Genomic DNA, 23,151 nt, shown 5'->3' on the forward strand with positions numbered 1-23,151 from the left:
GTAACAGTTCACAGTAGGGTTTGTGCTCCTATGATGTCTAATGCCGCCGCTGATCAGGAGGTGGAGATCAGGCAGGAATGCTCGCTCCTGCTGTGCGGCACTGTGTGGCCTAGTTCCTGACAGGCCACGGACTGGTACGGTCTGTGGTTTAGGGGTTGGGGATTGCTGTTAAATGGGATTTGGGGAATTTTATTTGGGTTCTCTCTTTGACTAGTCTATTGTCAAAGTTATTCCATCTAATTTTTCTAGAGTAAGCCAGGTTCTGTGTCATGTAATAGAGCCACATAAACAGCAAAGGTGCTATTGTGAACTGTGCATACGAGGGATCAAGTTGTGTTCCTTATGTGAATCTGAGCTAAAATAAGAAAAAAAAAAATTTAGCCTGTGAGGTCAGAAGCAAGACAGTCATGTTAGATTTCTGTCATTATTCATAGTTCTGCAAAGGTGGTTTCAGGTTCTGCATCAACTGAAACGTGCTCTTCCATCCAGCAGCATTTAAAACCAAAGATGCTGTCCCTTAATTAGTTAACTCTCACAATCCATTTTAGTAATGGTTCCTCAGGAAACTGACTACTTCAATCTATAAAGTAAAACAAGTTCTTCACATTATACTCTCTGGTTTGAATAGTTACTTGGTTTTGTTCTTCCCCACAATGACTACCTTCTTGGTAGCCGTAGGTCTCAGAGGCATTTTCTGTTGTCCCTAAATGATTCTGCCCTTGGTGGGAGGTGGCTTTTAGGCTGGCTGGTGGCTTTCGTTCAGATGGACTGAAATCTAAGCTTGATCTAGCATCAAGTTTGGACCCAGCACTCTCTAATTTTTTTTTTTTTAGCTGTTATAGATAACAAAGGATTGAGTAATTTGCTTTTTGCTTATTAGCTTGCATTTTCTTATGCATCCAGTGAACCAGAGATTGAATATTTTGCTTTTTGCATATTAGTTTGCATTTTCTTATGCATCCAGTGTACCAACTCCCTGGGAGCTGGATCCATCTCTAAATTTCCATGGTAACTCTTACCTTTAGTAACTGAGCACAGACAGCCACAGTTCCATACCATGTATGGCCATTTGGCCACTAAGGAATCAAAGGTTTTTCATCCTCCACCCATTTTTAAATTGAGGATTATTCAAAAGTTAAAGAAAAAACTTTATTATCTCTTATTAATATATGTAAATTGTGTTCAAAATAGAAAATGAACTTCTACTTTTTTTTTTTTTTTTTTTGAGATGGAGTCTCACTCTGTTGCCCAGGCCAGAGTGCAATGGTGCGATCTTGGCTCACTTCAACCTCTGCCTCCCGGGTTCAAGTGGTTCTCCTGCCACAGCCCCCTGAGTTGCTGGGATTACAGGTGTGCACCACCTTGCCTGGCTAATTTTTGTATTTTTAGTAGAGACGGGGTTTCACCATGTTGGCCAGACTGGTCTCAAACTCCTGACCTCGTGATCCGCCCGCCTCTGCCTCCACCTCCCAAAGTGCTTGGATTAGAGGTGGAGCCACCGCACCCAGCTTTTTTTTTTTTTTTTTTTTGAGACAGAGTCTTGCTCTGTTGCCCAGGCTGGAGTGCAGTGATGTGATCTCGGCTCACTGCAACCTCAGCCTCCTGGGTTCAAGCAATTCCCCTGCCTCAGCCTCCTGAGTAGCTGGGACTACAGGTGCGCACAACCACGCCCGGCTAATTTTTTATATTTTAGTAGATATGGGGTTTCACCATATTAGCCATGATTGTCTCAATCTCCTGACCTTGTGATCTGCCCGCCTTAGCATCCCAAAGTGCCAGGATTACAGGCATGAGCCACTGCGCCCAGCCGAAATTCTATTTTTATATTTGTGTATTGTCAATACTAAAGCTAATTTGAATAAAGTCTTATAAACAAATCCATCCAATTTTAATCAGGTTTTGACCACACAAGGTAAGATTTTTCCGTAAACCTTTTATACCTTCTTACAAATTTTTTTCTATTTTTCTCTTTCCCCAATTTTTAGATCTATTTACCTTTGTTTGAGACAGAATCTCACTCTGTCACCCATACTGGAGTGCAGTGGTTTGATCTTGGCTCACTGCAACCTCCACCTCCCAGGTTCAAGTGATTCTCGTGCCTCAGCCCCCCACATAGCTGGGATTACAGGCACACACCACCATGTCCGGCTAATTTTTGTATTAGTAGAGATGAGGTTTCTCCATGTTGGCCAGGCTGGTTTCAAACTCCTGGCCTCAAGTGATTCACCCACCTCAGCCTCCCAAAGTTCTGAAATTATAGGCTTGAGCCACTACGCCCAGTCCTAGATCTATTTACTTTTATCTACATTATTTTCCTTTCATTTTGAAACGACCTTTACATAACCCCTAAACTAGACAGAATTCCTTTTTTTTTCTTTCTTTCTTTTTTTTTTTTTTTTTTGAGAGAAGTCTCACTCTTGTTCCTCAGGCTTGAGTGCAATGGCCCGATCTTGGCTCACTGTAACCTCTGCCTCCCGGGTTCAAACAATTCTCCTGCCTCTGTCTCCCAGGTAACTGGGATTAAGGCACCTACCATCACGCCTGGCTAATTTTTGTATTTTTTTTTAGTAGAGACGGGTTTTCACCAAGTTGGCCAGGCTGGTCTCGAACTCCTGACCTCAGATGATCTGCCTGCCTTGGCCTCCCAAAGTGCTGGGATTACAGGCGTGAGCCACCACGCCCGGCCCAGAATTACTTTTTCTTTAGCAAAAACCACATCTTCATTTTTTAAATATAAGCTTCTTCACAAAAAACACATAGTAAACATCATGGCACTGGGCTGCACAATACTTTGATAGAGCACGTTGATGTAAAGACATTTTTGTAAGTGTTTAGAGCATGCCTTTTATATCTAAACATGCAAAGAAATGAGTAGCCTCCTGTCGTAATAACCATTTACTGTAAACAACTGCCACCAGCTGCTTCTGACACTGCAGCTCTTGCTTGTGACAGCCATTACGCACAAAAACGTCAAGTTCTTTCACAGGACAAAGTAATCTCTGGTACCCCCCAAAACCAATGATATCAGGTAATGCACTACAAAAGAAGGCAGAATTTTAGACCTGAGATAAATCTGTCCTCTTAAAACTCTTGAGTGAGAGAGAGAGAGAGAGAGAGAGAGAGAGGGAGAGAGATTTCCTCATCTGGTTAGTGTAGATAGCAGGTTGGCTTCCTGAGCTGGTCAGTGCAGTAGTGGGTTAGAGTTCTGTTTTATATTTGGCTTGGCCATTGTTGATTTCTATAGTCAATTTCTTACATGTAAACAAGGAAGATAGCTATAATATTGAGATTTCTTGTTTTCTTAACTGGTCTTAGGTTGAAAATTGATTTTTCATTCTCCTCCCCGCTCCCCCCTCCCCCCACCATCCCATTCTTCTGCCTCTGCCGGATCTTCAGCTGGGTAGCATTTTGGTTTTGTTTGTTTTTTAACCTGGAGGATGTCCCCAAATATCAAAACCTAAACTTCTGATTCTTAGAAGTCCTCCCTTCGATGAGTTGCTAGTTTTATTTCTGAACATGAACTTACCAAAACATCCCCCAGAAATCCCCTGGTCTCAGACATAACTCTCTATGCTTCCCATTCCATGGCAGCAACTCAGCCTAACTCATCCAAAGCAAAAAAGCAATCCCTTCTTGCTTAAGTGACACAAGGATCCCCAGATGAACAAGTAGCTGTATCACCCTTCAATTAAATGTAATAATATTTACTTCTGGTGGAACCTCTCCTTCCTTGGAACAAAGGGCCCCCAACCAGCAGAATTTACAATTAAGAAGAAGTGGCCAGACACAGTGGCTCAAGCCTGTAATCCCAGCACTTTGGGAGGCCGAGGCAGGCAGATCATAAGGTCAGGAGTTCGAGACCAGCCTGGCCAACATGGTGAAACCCTATCTCTACTAAAGATACAAAAAATTAGCTGTGCGTGGTGGTGCGTGCCTGTAATCACAGCTACTCGGGAGGCTGAGGCAGGAGAATTGCTTTAACCCGGGAAGAGGGGGTTGCAGTGGGCTGAGATCATGCCATTGCACTCCAGCCTGGGCGACAGGGCAAAAAAAAAAATTAGCCGGGCATGGTGGCGGGCGCCTATAATCTCAGCTATTCAGGAGGCTGAGGCAGAAGAATCGCTTGAAGCCGGGAGGCAGAGGTTGCAGTGAGCTGAGATCGCGCCAATGCACTCCAGCCTGGGTGACAGAGCAAGATTCTGTCTCAAAAAAAAAAAAAGAAAAAAAGAAAAAAGAAGAAGGGTAGCAGAAATTCTGTGAATGAGTTACTAGGTTCAAAAATGAGGATGCTCAATATAATGCATAGGTTCAGAAAAAAATTACGATGAAAAGAATTGTCAAATTTTGTAACTGATACTTGACCTGGTTAAATTTGAATTATTTCTAATTCCCTATGTATATGTGCAGTGAGATAAAAGATAAATATTGTATGTGACATACTCATCATAAAATTATTTGTTGTTTATCTGAAATACATTCTAAATCAGGGGTCCCCAACCCCTGGGGCCACAGATGAGTACTATGGCCTGTTAGGAATGGGGCCATATAGCAGAGGGTGAGTGGCAGATGAGTGAGCATTGCTGCCTGATCTCCGCCTCCTGTCAGATCGGCAGCAGCATTAGATTCTCATAGGGGTGCAAACCCTACTGTGAACTGCACAAGAGAGGGATCTAGGTTGTATGCTCCTTATGAGAATCTAATGCCTCTGAAACCATCTGCCCCCAAACCCCTCTCCCTTATCCATGGAAAAATTGTCTTCCACAAAACCGGTCCCTGGTACTAAAAAGCTTGGGGATCACAGTTCTAATGACATAACTCTTTCCCTGATAATTTGCTTCTACTTAACAATTCCTTGTTTTATATAATTTGCTTACAGAATTCCTGCAGTTACAGTCTTGATGCCATTTATGTTGTGACAAACCTTCGTCATTTGTCATATTCAACTTATTTCATTCCTTTATCTATTGGACATTCATTAATGAGAAACACACTCAACAGTAGCATTCTGAGCCTAAAGACTCATGATGATAAACAGTGTAGAAAACATTACAAACTCTATTATAATTATTCTACCATCTCCATCTGATTTTAACAAAAAAGTTATTTTGTCTCTTTCTTTGGAACTAGTTGAGAAAATCATGCACCTTCCAAAGTTAATATATATTTGACTGTCCACCATTTTCATTAGTCAATGGGCAATTACATAGAGTCGAAGACCTTCAAAGGGAATTTTAAATACTCCTCAGTTCATCATAAATTATAAACTTGCATTTTGACATTTTTTGCATTCAATATACTCAAAATATAGACAATAGCAACTTCTACAAGAGTTGAAAAACATTGTGGGTACAGTGGCTCATGCCTGTAATCGCAGCACTTTGGGAGGCCTAGGCGGACAGATCACTTGAGGTCAGGAGTTCGAGACCAGTATGGCCAACATGGCGAAACCCCATCTCTAATAGAAATACAAAAAATTAGCCAGGCATGGTGCCACGCGCCTGTAATCCCAGCTACTTGGGAGGCTGAGGCATGAGAATCACTTGAACCTGGGAGCCAGAGGTTGCAGTGAGCCGAGATTGCGCCACTGCACTCCAGCTGGGTGACAGAGTGAAACTGTATCTTAAAAAAAAAAAAGAAAAGAAAGAAAAAAGAAAACACTGGAGAAAACGTTGGATTTTACAATGTATGTCTGGGTCAGTTAGTCTACCATTTCATATCCAAACTCATAACTAATTACAAACAGATGGAACCATTGAAAGCTTGCAAACTTTTAAATTATATTCATATAATTAAAATATAAGTAATAATTTATATTCAATTAAGAATAAATGGGGCCAGGCGTGGTGGCTCATGCCTGTAATCCCAGCACTTTGGGAGGCCGAGGCAGGCGGATCATGAGGTCAAGAGATCGAGACCATCCTGGCCAACATGGTGAAATCCCGTCTCTACTAAAAATACAAAAAAATTAACTGGGCGTGGTGGCGTGCATATGTAGTTCCAGCTACTTGAGAGTCTGAGGCAGGAGAATCACTTGAACCGGAGAGGCGGAGGTTGCAGTGAGCCGAGATCACACCACTGCACTCCAGCCCAGCGACAGAGTGAGACTCCGTCTCAAAAAAAAAAAAAAGAATAAATAGATTTTGATATCTCAAGGGAAAAAAAGTGATATTCCTATTTGTCTGCAGGGCAGAGCTGTAGTGGTCAGGCAGTCTCCTCAAACAAAGCCAAAACTGCTATTATATGAGCTTTTAGGAAGGCTGGCCTTCAGGGACTGAGGACTTTCAGAAGCAGCAGAGTTGAAAGACTGATGGACTTTCAGGTATGTTAGTGTAAATGCAACCATTTACCAACTGGCTTTCATAAACAGGATTACTGACAGGAGGCACTTGTGGATTAGTTGTTGCCAGCAGCCTGGGGCTGCCACTGATTGACCATCTTTAGTACTGGGCCTTACCCCCATTGGAAAAATTTTAGAATCTTGGCCTAACAATGATTTGCTAAGTTTCTGGTTAATTACTGGGGTGAAGCTTTTGCTGACTAGCTGACTTTTAAAGCATAGGTACACATCCCAAGTTATCTCTAATTAATGGTGGTTTCTTGTTTATGATTATGGATTTGGGGCAGAGATAAATTTTTTCCTTACTTGAACATAAGCCAGCAACTTAATTCTCATTCCCCATTTTTGGTTTCCCAACAGCCAGAATTTGTAAGAAATCATATGCTATGGTTTGGATGTTTGTCTCTTCCAAAGCTCATGTTGAAATTTAATTTCCAATGTTTGAGGTGGGGCCTAATAGGAGGTGTTCTGGTCATGAGGGTAGATCCTACCTGAATACCCCCACTTGAAGATGTGTAAATTCTCACTCTATTAGTTCCCAAGAAAGCTGGTTGTTGAAAAGAGCCTGATACACTCCCCACCCACTGTCCTCCTCTCTTGCAATATGATTCCTTCGCATTATAGCTCTCTTTCGTTTTCCACCATGAATAGAACCCGCCGAAGACCCTCACCAGATGCAGATGCCCAATTTTAAACTTTCCACACATCAACATTTTGAGCCAAATAAACATTTTTTTCTTTATAAATTACCAGCTTCAGGTATTCATTTATAGCAACGCTAACTGGACTAAGACATCATAAGTATTATCTAGATATTTGTTTGTGAGGATATGATTTTCAACTCATGTTGCCAATGAGTAATTTAACGGCCAGTTACAGTCTGAGAAAAATGTGTCTCCCACTGGTGATTCTTTGTAATATATTACAACCAGCTGATATGTAGGATATGTAGGCCATTCTGATAAGTCAATACAGGATTCAGGAAAAATCGTTATATATAGGTCATATTCTTAAACTGTGCCCAGGTCTTAATTAATAATTAGCAATGACACAGAGGGGACACTGCCATCAAAAGAAAAGATTAATGTTACAGTTCCCTGGAAATAAGAGGCACTGAACACCACACAGGCCACAAGAAACCTTATTACATACAGAGACTGGAAAGCAGAAAGAGAAAACAGAGTAACTGGAAGTATGTCTTTATAACTAAAGTGGCAGAGAATGATGAGGTAGAGATACCGTCGATGGGCAGGAAGGAAAAACACATTTTAGTGTTTGTGGTTGGGGGGTTTTATATGAGTTTCATGCACTTGAGTAAGTGGCTTGCAAGAAAAAAAGTAAACAACTTTGGTTCTATTAGTTTGACCCTGTGATTAATGAATATCAAACAGACAAATACAGAATCTAAGAAAACATAGAACAGTCCTGTATACACATAGCAGCTGGGAAACCTATTCCCAGTGTGTCCCATGCACCTATCATTGATCTGAAACCCAATACATATGTGCTCATTGAACATTTACTAGAGAAGTAAATACACATTATCACACAGCTTCTCTATTCATTTTTATCTGTGGCAAGTCTTTCAGTTTATCATCTGTACTTACCCCTCTAAGCAGTTAATGAGCAATGTTTTCAAGTGTGTAAAAAAATTACATTTTGGAAACAAAAGCATAGTGTGTCCAAGTGTCCAGCAGAGCCACAGGTTCAACTTCATTCTCTGACTTCTCAGAATTTGCTGTCTCTCACTCAAACATTGAGATCTTATCTTTTTCTCACATTACAGATCGATTTCTCTAGGGCTTCTGGTTTTTTTTCTTTTGGAATAACCTACATAATTACTAATAGATTTCGGTAATTTTTTTATTTCACAAGTGTTTTTCACATTTCGACTCCCTGTGCAAATACAGTTGTAAACACAGGTGAAATTTTAAATCACTTCTGAGGAAGAAGATAACATCATGGAATTCCACACCTTTTTTGAGGATAAGATGTGCATATGCTTCAACTATGAAAACGGTAGACAATGTTGTCCAGAAATGGCATGTATCAGCTGCTCTTGAGAAATAAAAATAAAATTCTAAGCACCCCCTAACTGACTGAATGGATGCCCTCTTGACCATGAGAACCCTAGAATAACTTTGGAAGCTGAATTCACCACTATAGAGGAACGGGAAATCAGACACACCTCATTATATCCCCTACCACACTACAATCATTAGGTTTTCTTCCCTAAGGGCTAAATAGAAATCAACCTTTTCAGAAGACTACTAGCTTATCTTCCAAGGTACAGAACAGAGAGAAGATGAGATTATTCATTCCTTCATCCTTCTCTGAGACATCTTCTTTATTCCCTTTTCCCCTCACGTGTTTACTCTATCTTATGTAAAATGTAGATTTACTGGGCACTAACTAAAGTTTCACATGTCTGTAATCATTTGTCTCACTGCCAACCCCTCTTCCTTTTTAAGGAAAATGTATAATAAATACTAAACCTCCTAAGAACCTCTTTGGAAAAACCAGCCACAGATGCTTCTGTGACTTACATTTTTCTGGATGTGCCCTTAGGCTGGTCCAGTAATCCTCCATGATTTGTGACTTATGCCTCAATCACTCATTTTGGTCGTCACTCTCATTTTCAGATAGGATTGTGATTCTTAAAATAAATGGAAAATATCTCAGATATGAAGTAGTAAGTATTATTAGAATAAAAGCGTTGCACCCTTCGTAGGAACACAATCGCTGACTCTACAGTCAGGTAAGATGTATTCTCTTTGATCCAGAGGCATAGCTTCACCCTTTCAACCTACTTCAGCGTCTCCTGTCATCCTTCCTACAAATTCCAGTCCATAGCCCTAACTGCGTAGTCTTTCTTTCTTCTTCTGGACCAAACATATTGAAGCTTACTAAACAGACGCCAAAGCGTAACTGTATGTGTATTTGAAAAGCAATAATATGGCTGGCAGGCATGAGTAGAGGCAGACTGCCTTTATGGTATGGGGTGTCTCTTTGGACCTGTAGTTATTGGGAATTAGCTGTGCTTAATAGAGTCTTAAGTAATAAGTTGCTAACATTTCTGTAAATATCCTATACTACAATCCAAAAAAATACCGTATGTTGCCTTTAAGAGCAAGCCAAGCCCCCTCCTGTCTTTGGAGTCGGGGACTCCGTTTCCCAGCTCCCCTGACAGTGCCACTGGGCCTTTATCTGCCATATAAGGACTGATCAACGCTCTAAGACAAGTCCGGAAGCGGTGTCGAAACTTCATAACCCAGAAGACACTGCAGCTCTCGGCGGCACGACTTACCCAATAAAGGCTTAGAAGGGGACGTTTGCGTGCGTGCGCACCGTCGGAGGGCGGGACTTCCGCCGTCCTCCTGGTGGTGGTCGTTTTGGTTCTGTGTGGTGTTTCACCAACTTCGGCCTATGGCTCTGTCTGACGTCACCGAAGTGACGGAACGGAAAAGCGCGAGAAGCGGCTCGGTTCCCACCACGGAGAGGCGGGAGTGAGTCAACTGACAAGCGCTGGGGACAGTGGCGTCCTTGTCTTGCCTTTGTCGCTCCCGCCCCGCTCTTCCCTGGCTGGGCTGGCGGAGGCCTTGCTGATGAACCTGACTGAGGTGGGTGTCCCGTCCCAGGCTCCCCCGCCCGACCGGTCCTCCCAGTGCTGAAGCCCCCTGAAGGGGCCCTGCAGGTCAGGCCCCTTGTCCCGAAGAGAGGGGCGTTCCTGTGTGGGGTCCCCGTATCAGCCGATTTGATGCAGCCTCAGAGCTCCCGTTAGGGACCTCAGGTTCAGAGCATGGAGGCGCTGCCGAGTGGGCTGTGTTGGGGCGTCAGGGGTGTGTGTTGTTTCTGCGGGAAAGAGAGGGTTTTGTGAATTCTCGCTTGGAATGGCAACCTGAGCAGCCAGTAACCATGGAAGGTTGTCAAGGGAGGGACAGTTGGAGGGGGCAGGTCCAGAGTTCGAAGTTTCAAGTTAGGAAAACCAGGTTAGGAATGGACACAGGGAGACGCGAAAAGGCCCTGAGGCCACTGCAGTAGACCCAGGAGAATTATGGTTGGGGCTGGACCAGTGACAGTAGAGGGAGATGTGATGAGATTCTTCATAGGCCTGAAAGATAGGGCCCGTAGGTTTTCCTGGTGCTTCAGTTATGTCTGAACAAAGGCAGTGAAGAACCGTTTCAAGTGTTTGTTTTGTTTTTTGTTTTCTGTTTGAACGTTTGGAAGAATGGAGTTGGGGAAGTCAGCATAAAGAGCAGATTTCCGGGAGAAGATCACAGGTTGGATTTTGGACATGGTGATTCTCAAATGTCTCAAGATGGATATGTCACACAGACAGGTGGACATAAAGGTGTGGAGTCTGAGGAAGGGGATTGGGTTGGCGATACCAGACGGATGGAGGGCTTGGACTGGGCCAGAGAATGGTCTGAGGATCAGATTGAGTAGGTCGGTCTCGGGTTTTTTTTGTTTGTTTGTTTGCATAAATTTAAGGAGTCAAGTGCAGTTTTGTTATATGGATATATTTGCATAGTGGTCAAGTCTGGGCTTTTAATGTATCCATCGCCTGAATAATGTACATTGTATCCATTAAGTAATTTTTCATCACTCATCTTCGTCTCATCCTTCTACCTGTTTGGAGTCTCCAATGTTTGTCATTCCACACTCTTTGTCCATGTGTACACATTATTCAGCTTCCACTTGTAAGTGAGAACATTTGGTATTTGACTTTCTGTTTCTGAGTTGTTTCATTTAATAATGGCCTCCAGTTCCATCCACATTGCTGTAAAAGACATAGTTTCATGCTTTTTTTTTTTTTTGTGGCCTAGTGGTATTACCTTGTGTATATATATGCCACATTTTCTTTACCCAGTCATACATTGATGGATAATTGGTTAATTCCCTATCTTTGCTATTGTGAATAGTGCTGTGATAAAAATACATGTTTTTTTTAATGTAATGATTTATTTTCCTTTGGGTAGATGCCCAGTAGTGGAATTGGTGGATTTAATGGCAGTTCTATTTTCAGTTATTTGAAAAATCTTCATACTGTTTTCCATTGAGGTTGTACTTATTTACATTCTCACCAACAGTGTGTAACCTTTTTCTCTTCTCCATATCCTGGGCAACATCAGTTGTTTTTTGACATTTAAATGATAGCCATTCTGACTGGTGTAAGGAGATACTGTGGTTTTAATTTGAATTTGTCTGATGATTAATGATGTTGAGCATTTTTTTATATGCCTGCTTGCGATTTATGTGTCTTCTTTTTGAAAAATGTCTGCCCTGTGCTTACTGTTTTTTTTTTTTTTTTTTTTTTGAAATGGAGTCTCGCTCCGTCGCCCAGGCTGGAGTGCAGTGGCGCGATCTCGGCTCACTGCAACCTCCACCTCCCAGGTTAGTTCAAGCAATTCTGCTGCCTCAGCCTCCCAAGTAGCTGGGATTACAGGTGCCCACCACCACGCCCAGCTAATTTTTTGTATTTTTAGTAGAGACGGGGTTTCACCATGTTGGCCAGGCTGGTCTTGAACTCCTGACCTCAGGTGATCCACCTGCCTCGGCCTCCCAAAGTGCTGGGATTACAGGTGTGAGCCACCGCGCCCAGCCCTGTGCTTACTGTTAATGAGATTTTTTGTTGTTGTTTTTTTGTTATGTTTTGTTTGTTTGTTGTTGAGTTCTTTGTAAATTCTGGATATTAGTACCCTGTCAGATGCATAGTTTGCAAATATTTCATCCCATTTTTCAGGTTGTACATTTACTTGGTTGATTAGTCCTTTTGCTATACAGAAGCTGTTTAGTTTAATTAGGTCCTGTCTACTTTTGTTTATGTTGTTTATGCTTTTGAAGTCTTATTCATGAATTTTTTTGCCTAGACCAATGTCCAGAAGGGGTTTCCCTGAGTTTTCCTTTAGTATTCTTCGTTCAGGTCTTACATTTAAATCTTTAATTCATCTTGAGTTGATTTTTGTATATGGCAAGAGAAATTGGTCCAGATTCATTCTTTTTCATATGGCAATCCAGTTTTCCCAGCACATTTTATTGAAAAGTGTGTCCTTTCCGTAGTGTGCATATTTGTTGCCTTTCTCAAAGATCAGTTGGCTATAGATATGTGGCTTTATTTCTAGGAACTTTGTTCTGTTCCATTGATCTATGTGTCTATTTCTGCAGTCAAATGCTTTACCACTGAGCTGTACACCTTATGTGTCTATTTCTATCCATTACCATGCTGTTTTGGTTACTAACAACTTGTAGTATAATTTGAAGTCAGATGGACTTAATTTGAGGGAAATCTTGAGGTTGTCATTTCAGGTGGGCTCTGTGTTGAGAGAACAGGGGGCTGAGACTTGGGGGCCAGACCATTGGTGGCTCCACAGACATCATACTCTGTCCAGAACGGTGCAGACCTGGCATAACAGGGATTCTGGATTGCATCTGTAAAAAGGGAGGCCTGGACTGGGTAAGCATATGGCCTGGGATGGAGGCTGAAGTGTGAGGTGGTTTCGATCCTGCACCTGCAGGCTTGGTTGACCCTCAGGGCCACTCTCTGTTGAACAAGAGAAATGTTATTGAGGCTGGTGGAGTAGCTGGGTTCCAGATCAGAGCACTGCTTTTTCCCCTTCTCTACATGTCAGGGCTACAGGGGATGATCTACTGCTCCAGCCAAGGTCTCCTGGCAAGCTCACTTTAGAAGATTATGTAGCAGGTAGACCTGGTTGCAGAAAGGACCAGTACCTGACCTGCCTACTCTTCCCTTCTCTATAACTCATTAACTTAATAATGTATGAAACACTTATTGATTTAAACCCCAATTAGACAGTATCTTTCTAAGTGTGTGCAAACAGATAGGCAGTTAATAGTGAAGTCATTATGTTAAATTTCTAAAAGTGAGCCGGGTGTGGTGGCTCACACCTGTAATCCCAGCACTTTGGGAGGCCGAGGTGGGTGGATCACCTGTGGTCGGGAGTTCGAGACCAGCCTGACCAACATGGAGAAACCCTGTCTCTACTAAAAATACAAAATTAGCCGGGTGTGGTGGCGCATGCCTGTAATCCCAGCTTCTCAGGAGGCTGAGGCAGGCGAATTGCTTGAAAACAGGAGGCGGAGGTTGCAGTGAGCCAAGACCACGCCATTGCACTCCAGCCTGGGCAAGAAGAGCAAAACTCTGTCTCACAATAGAGGAGAGGAGAGGGGAGGGGAGGGGAGGGCAGAGGAGGGGAGGGGGGAGGGCAGGGGAGGGGAGGGGAGAAAGTGGTTCATAATTGGTTTGATGTTAATTTATCTCGTTTGCTTTCCTTGGAAAAAGTTAATATCGCATCCTCTAAAATCTTAAGCTAAAAACATACATGAAAATTTCAAAACCCCACTCTTTCATTTGCATTGAACTCATGTACAAAACCATTAATCTTGGACCATAGCCGCTGATATATATAGTACATGCTACTGATGTTTGATACTAATATGAGCCCTGTGAGGGGGCAGCTATTCTTGCAATCTATTTACAGATGGAGACACTGAAGCTCAGGTGGGTTTGGTTCTTTTCCATGGTCACAGAGCTGCAGCACTGAGGCCTGAGGAACTTTATTCAATGAATTGAGATCAGTTTGCTCCCAGGCAGGGCAGACGAGGTGGTGGTCCATCTCAGCCTGAAGGATCCTTCCATGGCTGTCAATTTCTCACGGCCTTTCTCTTCCCTCAGGGTCCCCTGGCGATGGCAGAAATGGACCCTACACAGGTGAGTAGAGTGTTTCCTACTATTCACCCACCCTGGTTATCTCCCAGATGGTTTTGGCAGGTGACAAAACCTCTTTTCCTGTCTTTCTCTTATGTCTGAAGGGTGAGTGGTTTCACCAGTTAGTTTCAGTATTACAAGTTGGCTGCTGGGTTACATAGACTGGTCCCCGTTTTTGAGAATTGATCTGATAAGATATGTTTGGGCCTCTTGGGCACAGGATTCAGAATGTTTCAATGTTTGGAGGAGAGACTGAGCTAGGTTTTTAGGGAACTGCAAATGTCTGTTACATCTGGTAGGAATACGGAGCAGAATGGGAGGTGGCTAGAGGCACACAAACATCAGGCCTGGAATGACAGCCTAGGTCCTGGGTCTGTAATCTAAGGGAAGTGGGAGACGGGGAAGATTTGAAGCAAAATAGGTAGTGATAGGACCCCAGTTTAAGAGACTTTCTTTGGCTTCTGAGTGGAGGACAGACTGTGGAGGTGAGGGTAATGGAAGGGAGATCTGAGAGGATGTTCCTGCAGCAGTCTAGGTGGATGTTGGTGGTGGCTTGTCAAGAGTGGTCATAGCTTCAGTTTTAACTAGAGCTGCCCACATTTTATGATACAGAGAGTGAGGCAGCTGGGGAGGTGGGATAGAAGGGGAATCAGGAGTGGCCCCATGGTTTTTGTTTGGAAGCATAGATGCTCCATCAGCTAAGATGGGAGAAGTCAGCAGTATTAGGAATTTTCAGAGTGAGTGTGAGGAGTCAGTGTTTGTTCAAGCCACAGATGTCTCAGAGACTCCTGATGGAGGAGTTCAGGTTGGAGATGTCCACACTATGGTGGCTGTCGTATGGACCAGGATGAAGCCATGGATTCAGTTTAGGTGACAGCATCTCTAGGTTATGGTGGCAGTGCTGTTCGAAGACAGAGAATTGGAATGGGGCATGAGAACTGGGTCTCTTACTGGGTAGCTGTGCAGTGGTGGAGGAGTCACTAGACAAATGAGGGAATGGAGTGTTTGTGGGGATGAGTGTATGTGAGATGGTGGGGTATAGGAGTGAGAAAGACTTCTGAAGGAGAGTGGACATGATGGGGTTGCTGAGGGGGGATAATAGGGTGAGGTCGGAGAGTTGCTAACTATCAGTTGGGAGGAGGTGAGGATGGGAGTTGTATTAATCCGTTTCCATACTGCTGTAAAGAACTACCTGAGACTGGGTAATTTATGAAGAAAAGAGGTTTAACCAACTCACAGTTCTTCAGGCTTAACAGGAAGCATAACTGGGAGGCCTCAGGAAACACAATCCTGGCGGAAGGTGAAGGGGAAGCGAGGCACATCTTCCCATGATGGAGCAGGAGAGAGGGAGAGAATGAAGGGGGAAGAGCCAAACACTTTTAAACAACCAGATCTCGTGAGAACTTACTATTATGAGAAAGGCAAGGGGAAAATATGCCCTCATGATCCAGTCACATCCCACCAGGTCCCTCCCCTGACACGTGGGGATTACAATTTGACATGAGATTTGGGTGGGGACACAGAGCCAAACCATATCAGGAGTGGAAATATGGAGGTCAGTGCAGCTGGGCTTGGAATGAGGTTTTGGTGGAGAGCAATTTTCCTGACTGTTTATGGGACAGAGTGTACCATGAGGCAGGACACAGCTGAGAGTATGGGAAGTCCTCACATGGTTTGGGCAGCTGACAGTGAAGTGAGAAACAGGGCCGTGTAGGGAACCTTCAACCCAGGGCTTAGGGCTGCCCCCGGTGCTAGGGGACTTTGGTGTTCTGGGGCAGGACTGGGAATGAATTGGATGCTGAGCGTATTTGCCGTGCACCACCTGGTTTCCGTGTGCAGAGTGGCCTGTTAGGAGGTGAAGGAAATGCCTGTGGTGTGGGCTGGGAGTTGTCTGTGGAATTGACTGGAGTGGAGGTGTGAGAGATGGGATTGGAGTGCTGTCCAAAGAGTGATGTGCAGGCAGGAGGAGTGTGAATGGAGGGCCTCAGGCCCTGGCCCTGGTAGCTCAAGGGAGGAGGATGAGTCTGAGTTTGGTTGTCTTGGGAGGCAAGATCTGGGTGACTCCATGGCAACTGGCTGGCAGGAGAGGATGGATCCCCCCACGGGAGGCCCACATTCCTTTTCTACCTTATCTTCCATCTGTTTCCTCTGTGTGCTGGACACGGTGGCCAATGTCAATATGGAGAGAAAAGTCACTCATGCCACCTGGATGTGGTTTCTCTTCCACATTGGGAGGGTGTGGAAGAGATTGAGCAAGGAATGGAGGCGTAGGGGACAGCGATGAGATCCTGGAGAGAGAAATGTAGCAGTCATTTTACCTATTGGGTTTTAATTTATGGATGTGAGTGATTGATGCTGGGGACAGGCCAATGACTGAAAGAAGATATTTATTCCTTGCATTTCCCCAAGGGGGGTACATACCACATAACACAGGGCCACATGGTGAGGCACCAGATTTGGTCAGGAGGAAAATTGGAGTGAGGGGAAAGTTTAGTTTAGTCCACGGACGCTATTGGGGTTTCCAAGGGAAAGCAATGCAGGGCTGGGCGTCAGGATAGTTTGGCTAGTTTAAATAATTCCAGGACACCTGGGCTATTGGGACTGTCCCTAGTTTTGCAGTACCTGGCCCTGGGTTGATTTAGAGTACGGGAAATATTGGCTTGGTTTGAGAATATGGGCCCAGGGTGGTAGGGGAGATGGAAACACATTTGGCTGTTAGTTTGGCCCTGTGTTTAATGGGTGGTAAATATAAGTAGAAAATAGAGAACTTAAGTAAATACAGCTTGAAAAGAAGCTGCTTATGTATTCATCTTTCCCAATTTGGCAGGGCCGTGTGGTCTTTGAGGACGTGGCCATATATTTCTCCCAGGAGGAGTGGGGGCACCTTGATGAGGCTCAGAGATTGCTGTACCGTGATGTGATGCTGGAGAATTTGGCCCTTTTGTCCTCACTAGGTAAGGCCCTCACACTTGCCCAGTGTCCTGGGTTAGGCTGTGTTACCCCTTTTTACCCAAAGGCAGCTCTGCGTTTCCCACAGTGAGACCGTGGGTGCTGCTTCTTTTCCCTGTTTCTTGGCATATATGCTGTGGGAGGCAGGGCTGGGCCGTGTGTTTTATACCCCCTTTTTCCTAGCATCCCCATCCCTGCTGCTCTGAGGCTTACAAGAAAGGGCTCAAGAGCCAGAAATGTTGAATTTGGCATAGAGACCCCACCAGCCTTGTCTGTCCCTGGTCAGGTTACTCTGTCCAAACACATGAGACCTGTGTTCTGTTGTCCCCTTTCTCTCACTGATATTTCTTGGTGCCTTCCTGTGCTTGGAATTTCAGGCACTGCCCTGGTCACTGATTTTGGGGACTGCTGAGTTGACTATGCAGGACGCAGGACTCTTCTGTGAAGTTCTTACGATTATAGAATGTGGGATGCCATGGGCTTGATCTCTCTGGGCATGTGCTCTTTACTCTTTTTCTCTTTCTTTCCCCTAGAGAGGGCCCCAGGCACCTGAGAGGGTGGATATTACTTCAACAATGGCATTAGAGGCTCAGGGACATGGCCCTGGTGCCTGGGAATTGGGAAAAGGGTTGATGTCACAGCTGGGGTCAAATCACCCTGGGAACCTGTCCTGTGTTCACCATTGTTTGTTGCCAGGGCCACTGGCCACAGATTTCTACCTTTTCTTCCCCATTATCATTTCTAGTATGACTCCTGGCCCCTGCACCTCCAATGCCCCACAGTCTGTACTTCTGGGGCCACCACCCTTCAACCATTCTTTTCCACTGCTCCCTTTGAATGCCTGCCAACACGTGGCCTGTATTTAACATGGTGTGAGGTCTGCATGTATCCCTGAACACAAGCTCCTCTGTCACAGTCTGATCTCTCTGGGTTTGGAGAGAACCTTCTACACACTGCTTGCCAGTCTCCAGCAACCATGGCCTGTTGATGGCTGTTTTCAGAGGAGTGAGTTGGAGACCCTGCCTTCTCTCTCTGTACCATACCCCTCCCTTGTATGCTTACCATCATCAGGGCTCTCCCATTATGGGGCCTTGCCAGGCCCAGCCCTGCATAGTGGACCCTCCTCTCACTGGCCTTAATGTCCATGATGTCCCCAATCCCATGGCCTTATTTGTGTGTGTGCCTGACACACATTTGTGATGGAGCTGCTTCCTCCCACCAGAGTCAACATGCACTTCTCCAGCATTTCTGTTCTGACAGGTTCTTGGCATGGAGCTGAGGATGAGGAGGCACCTTCACAGCAAGGTTTTTCTGTAGGAGTGTCAGAGGTTACAGCTTCAAAGCCCTGTCTGTCCAGCCAGAAGGTCCACCCTAGTGAGACATGTGGCCCACCCTTGAAAGACATTCTGTGCCTGGTTGAGCACAATGGAATTCATCCTGAGCAACACATATATATTTGTGAGGCAGAGCTTTTTCAGCACCCAAAGCAGCAAATTGGAGAAAATCTTTCCAGAGGGGATGATTGGATACCTTCATTTGGGAAGAACCACAGAGTTCACATGGCAGAGGAGATCTTCACATGCATGGAGGGCTGGAAGGACTTACCAGCCACCTCATGCCTTCTCCAGCACCAGGGCCCTCAAAGCGAGTGGAAGCCATACAGGGACACAGAGGACAGAGAAGCCTTTCAGACTGGACAAAATGATTACAAATGTAGTGAATGTGGGAAAACCTTCACCTGCAGCTATTCATTTGTTGAGCACCAGAAAATCCACACAGGAGAAAGGTCTTATGAATGTAACAAATGTGGGAAATTCTTTAAGTACAGTGCCAATTTCATGAAACATCAGACAGTTCACACTAGTGAAAGGACTTATGAGTGCAGAGAATGTGGAAAATCCTTTATGTACAACTACCGACTCATGAGACATAAGCGAGTTCACACTGGAGAAAGGCCTTATGAGTGCAACACATGTGGGAAATTCTTTCGGTACAGCTCCACATTTGTTAGACATCAGAGAGTTCACACCGGAGAAAGGCCGTATGAGTGCAGGGAATGTGGGAAATTCTTTATGGACAGCTCCACACTCATTAAACATCAGAGAGTTCACACCGGAGAAAGACCTTATAAGTGCAATGATTGTGGGAAATTTTTTAGGTATATCTCCACACTCATTAGACATCAGAGAATTCACACTGGAGAAAGGCCTTATGAGTGCAGTGTATGTGGGGAATTGTTTAGGTACAACTCCAGCCTTGTTAAACATTGGAGAAATCACACTGGAGAAAGGCCTTATAAATGCAGTGAATGTGGGAAATCATTTAGGTACCACTGCAGGCTCATTAGACACCAGAGAGTCCACACGGGAGAAAGGCCTTATGAGTGCAGCGAATGCGGGAAATTCTTTCGTTACAACTCCAACCTCATTAAACATTGGAGAAATCACACTGGAGAAAGGCCTTACGAGTGCAGAGAGTGTGGGAAAGCCTTTAGCCACAAGCATATACTTGTTGAGCACCAGAAAATCCACAGTGGAGAAAGACCTTATGAGTGCAGCGAATGCCAGAAGGCCTTTATTAGAAAGTCTCACCTGGTTCATCACCAGAAAATCCACAGTGAAGAGAGGCTTGTGTGCTCCATGAATGTGGGGAATTCTTTAGCTAAAACTCCAACCTCATTAAACATCAGAGATTTCACAATGGAGAAAGTTTACCATTGACTATTGTAATTGGGTAGTAATGTTATATAAATTCCACATTTTTATGCAACTAATCTCCAGAACATTTTTCCTCTTACCAAGAAGTAAAATGCTGTACCCATTAACAACAACTCATTCCCCTTCCCTACTTCCCCAGAAATGTCTCAACTATATTTCTATACTCTATGGTACTTATATGAGGTACCAATAGATATCTATGAATTTGATATATATTTGTACCTCATATAAGTGGATTCTACAGTATTTATCTTTTGAGACTGGCTTATTTCACTTAGGATAAGGTCTTCACGGTTCACCCATGTTGTATAATGTGTCAGAATATCCTTCCTTTTTAGGTGAAATAATATTCTATGGTATTTATATACCACATTTATTTATCCATTCATCTGTTAGTGGATACTTGGGCTACTTCCACCTTTTGCCTATTGAAATAATGCTGCTATGAAGATGAGTGTACAAGTGTCTATTCAAGATTCTACTTTCAATTCTTATAGGGTATATACTCAGAAATGGTGGTGCTGGATCATATAGGATTTCTATTTTTTTTTTTTGTTTGTTTTTGAGACAGAGTCTTGCTCTGTCACCCAGGCTGGAGTGCAGTGCTGTGATCTTGGCTCACTGCAAGCTCCGCCTCCCAGGTTCATGCCATTCTCCTGCCTCACCCTCCCGAGTAGCTGGGACTACAGGTGCCTGCCACCACGCCTGGCTAATTTTTTTGTATTTTTAGTAGAGACGGGGTTTCACCGTGTTAGCCAGGATGGTCCTGATCTCCTGACCTTGTGATCTGCCTGCCTTGGCCTCTCAAAGTGCTGGGATTACGGGCGTGAGCCACCGCGCCTGGCCAGGATTTCTATTTTTAATATTTTTGGGAAAATTTTTCCATAGTACCTGTGCCATTTTACATTCCCACCAGCAGTGCACAAGGATTGCAATCTATATACATCCTCACCAACATTGTTCATTTTCTATTTCTGTTTTTGGGGTTTTTTGTAGTGCCTTTTGTTTTGGATAGCAGCTATCTTGTTGGATGTGAGGTGGAATCTATAGTGTCTTTCATTTTTATTTTGTGAATGATTGATGATGTTGAGGATCTTTTCATGTGCTTGTTAGGCATTTGTGTATCTGGAAAAATATTCAAGTCTTTTTTTTCCATTTTTAATGGGACTATTTGCTTTTTGTTGTTGAGTTGTAGTTCTTTATACATTCTGGATATTAACTCCTTACCAAATATATGCTTTTTACATATTACCTCCCAGTCCATAGGTTGCTTTTTCGCTCTGTTGATTGTGTCCTTTGATGAAATTTTAAGTTTTGATGTACTGTTGACTCTTTCTGTCTGTGGGTTCTGTATTCATGGATCGAAGCAACCATGGATCAAAAGTATTTGGAGCATCCATGGATTGCAGTGATCATTAATCAAAAATATTTGGAAAACAAAAAGGGTAGTTGCATCTGTACTAAACATGAACAGACATTTTTTCTTGTCATTATTCCCTAAACTATATAGTATAATAAATATTTACATAGCATTTACATTGTATTAGAAGTTATAAATAACCTAATGATAATCTATATAGGAAGATGTGTGTAGGTTATATTCAAACACTATGCCTTTTTATGTGAGGGACCTCTTGAGCATCAGATGATTTTGGTATCCACAAGGGGTCCTGGAATCAGTCCCCCACAGACACCAAGGGATGACTGTAGTGCATTTTATCTATTTTTACTTCTGTTACCTGGGCTTTTGATGTTATATATTAAAAAAAATTAGTATCAAATCCAATGCCAAGCATTTTCCCTATGCTTTATTCTAAGAATTTTATATTTGAAGGTCTTACATTTAGGTCTTTTTTTTTTTTTTCTTTTGGAGGCAGAGTCTTGCTCTGTCACCCAGCCTGGAGTGCAGTAGTGGAATCTCAGCTCACTACAACCTCCGCCTCCTGGGTTCGAGCCATCACCCCACCTCAGCCTCCCAAGTAGCTTGGATTACAAGTGTACACCACCACACCTGGCTAATTTTTGTATTTTTAGTAGAGATGGGGTTTTGCCATGTTGGCCAGGCTGGTCTTAAACTTCTGGCCTTAAGTGATCCCCCTGCCTCGGCCTCCCAAATTGCTGAGATTACAGGCAGGAGTTGTAATGCACTGTGCCTGGCTACATTTAGATCTTTAATCTACTTGGGGTTCATTTTTGCATATGGTTTAAGGCAAAAGTCCACTTTATGTGGCTATCCAGTTTTCCAAGCACCATTTTTTGAAAAGAGCATCTTTCCTCTGTTGAGTAGTCTTGGCACACTTGTCAAAATCATTTGTCCATATATGCCATGGTTTATATGTGGATTCTCTATTTTATTGGTCATATGTCTGTCTTTATGTCAGTACCACACATTTTAGGTGTGTGTGTGTGAGACTCAGTGTTGAGGACAAGGCTAGTGGGCTTTCACACTCCAGACTGCTGTATTCCAGCCCAAATTACTCAAATTAGCCAATCCATGGGGAACATGGAAAACGTAGCTAATGCAATCCGCTTGCCTTACCTAAGTTGTCCCCTGCAGCCTCAGGTTGCTGTTACTGTGTTTCAGATGCAACCCTCTGTGGGACCCTACCCAAGTTCTCTCATTCTTAGCTATAGGTAATAAATTGTTCTGATTTTGTGTATCCAAGTGACATTGGGTTGTTTCTTGCTATCAGAAGAACCCAGAAAAGTATTATGAATCTAGTGAATGTTGGAAAATCTTTAGCCATTAGCATAACCTCATTTCGTGCCAGCATGTTCACCCTAGAGAAAAGTAGAAGTGAAGGCAATGTCATCTTTCCTTGTTAACATGATAACTCAGTAGAGCAATGCTTTGGAGATTAGCTTTTTAGGGAGAGAGCCAGCAGTTGAGCCTCCTGCATCTGAACATCCACACTAGGGATATTGTCTGTACTGCCAGATATATGGGAAGATTTTGTGAACTGTGTTGCAGTTTTCAACTTGACTGGGGCCTTTCCCAGAGTTATGCCCCTGCCAGTGCCTATTTAAAAATGTCATCTCTTTTCTACCAACTGGCAAAGAGCCATGGTGTGTAGCATTTTAGTCACATTAAAATGCAGTTATGGCAGCATGCTGTGTTCTCTATCTGAAGAATTCACTAGTCACTTGAACACTTTGGAGTCCTCACCCCCCTCCTATGATTGATTAGGGCATAGACATCAGCCTTGGACAGAAGACATGGACTGGCTTTGGCAGGCAGATTGCAGAAATTTCCTTTCTCCAGGGGAAAGTATTGGTTATCTCATTGATAGTGGTAGGAGGCAGATACATTGCTAGGCAGACTAAGGACGGGTCCCTGGTGAAACCCAAACTTCAAGCCAACGACAGTTTAAAGCCTGAAAATTGAGCTGCCAGTTCCAAGTAGAGTCCATGACTGGAGTGAG

General features: G+C 43.6%; 1 protein-coding gene across 2 annotated transcripts, besides 2 other annotated features; it reads left to right on the forward strand.

The window, feature by feature from the left end:
- Positions 9,255-9,334: an enhancer, noted in NCBI's record as "active region_15137". NCBI's record gives its function as "activates an Ori minimal core promoter by ATAC-STARR-seq in GM12878 lymphoblastoid cells {active_cell/tissue: GM12878}" and the evidence as "EXISTENCE:reporter gene assay evidence [ECO:0000049][PMID:35858748]".
- Positions 9,475-9,954: an enhancer, noted in NCBI's record as "active region_15138". NCBI's record gives its function as "activates an Ori minimal core promoter by ATAC-STARR-seq in GM12878 lymphoblastoid cells {active_cell/tissue: GM12878}" and the evidence as "EXISTENCE:reporter gene assay evidence [ECO:0000049][PMID:35858748]".
- Positions 9,697-22,835, forward strand: ZNF548 (zinc finger protein 548). 2 transcript variants are annotated; one of them, NM_001172773.2, is made up of 4 exons: positions 9,697-9,957; positions 14,031-14,066; positions 16,891-17,017; positions 18,273-22,835. In NM_001172773.2, the coding sequence occupies exons 1-4, from the start codon at positions 9,943-9,945 to the stop codon at positions 19,730-19,732; spliced, it is 1,638 nt and encodes a 545-aa protein (NP_001166244.1). In that variant the 5' UTR covers positions 9,697-9,942; the 3' UTR covers positions 19,733-22,835. The 2 variants fall into 2 exon arrangements, with proteins under 2 accessions (NP_001166244.1, NP_690873.2); NM_152909.4 differs by lacking the exon at positions 14,031-14,066.
- The last annotated feature ends 316 nt before the right edge of the window (positions 22,836-23,151 follow it).

Source organism: Homo sapiens, chromosome 19, assembly GCF_000001405.40.
Source record: "Homo sapiens chromosome 19, GRCh38.p14 Primary Assembly".
In the NCBI taxonomy this organism is placed as follows: Eukaryota; Metazoa; Chordata; class Mammalia; order Primates; family Hominidae; genus Homo; species Homo sapiens.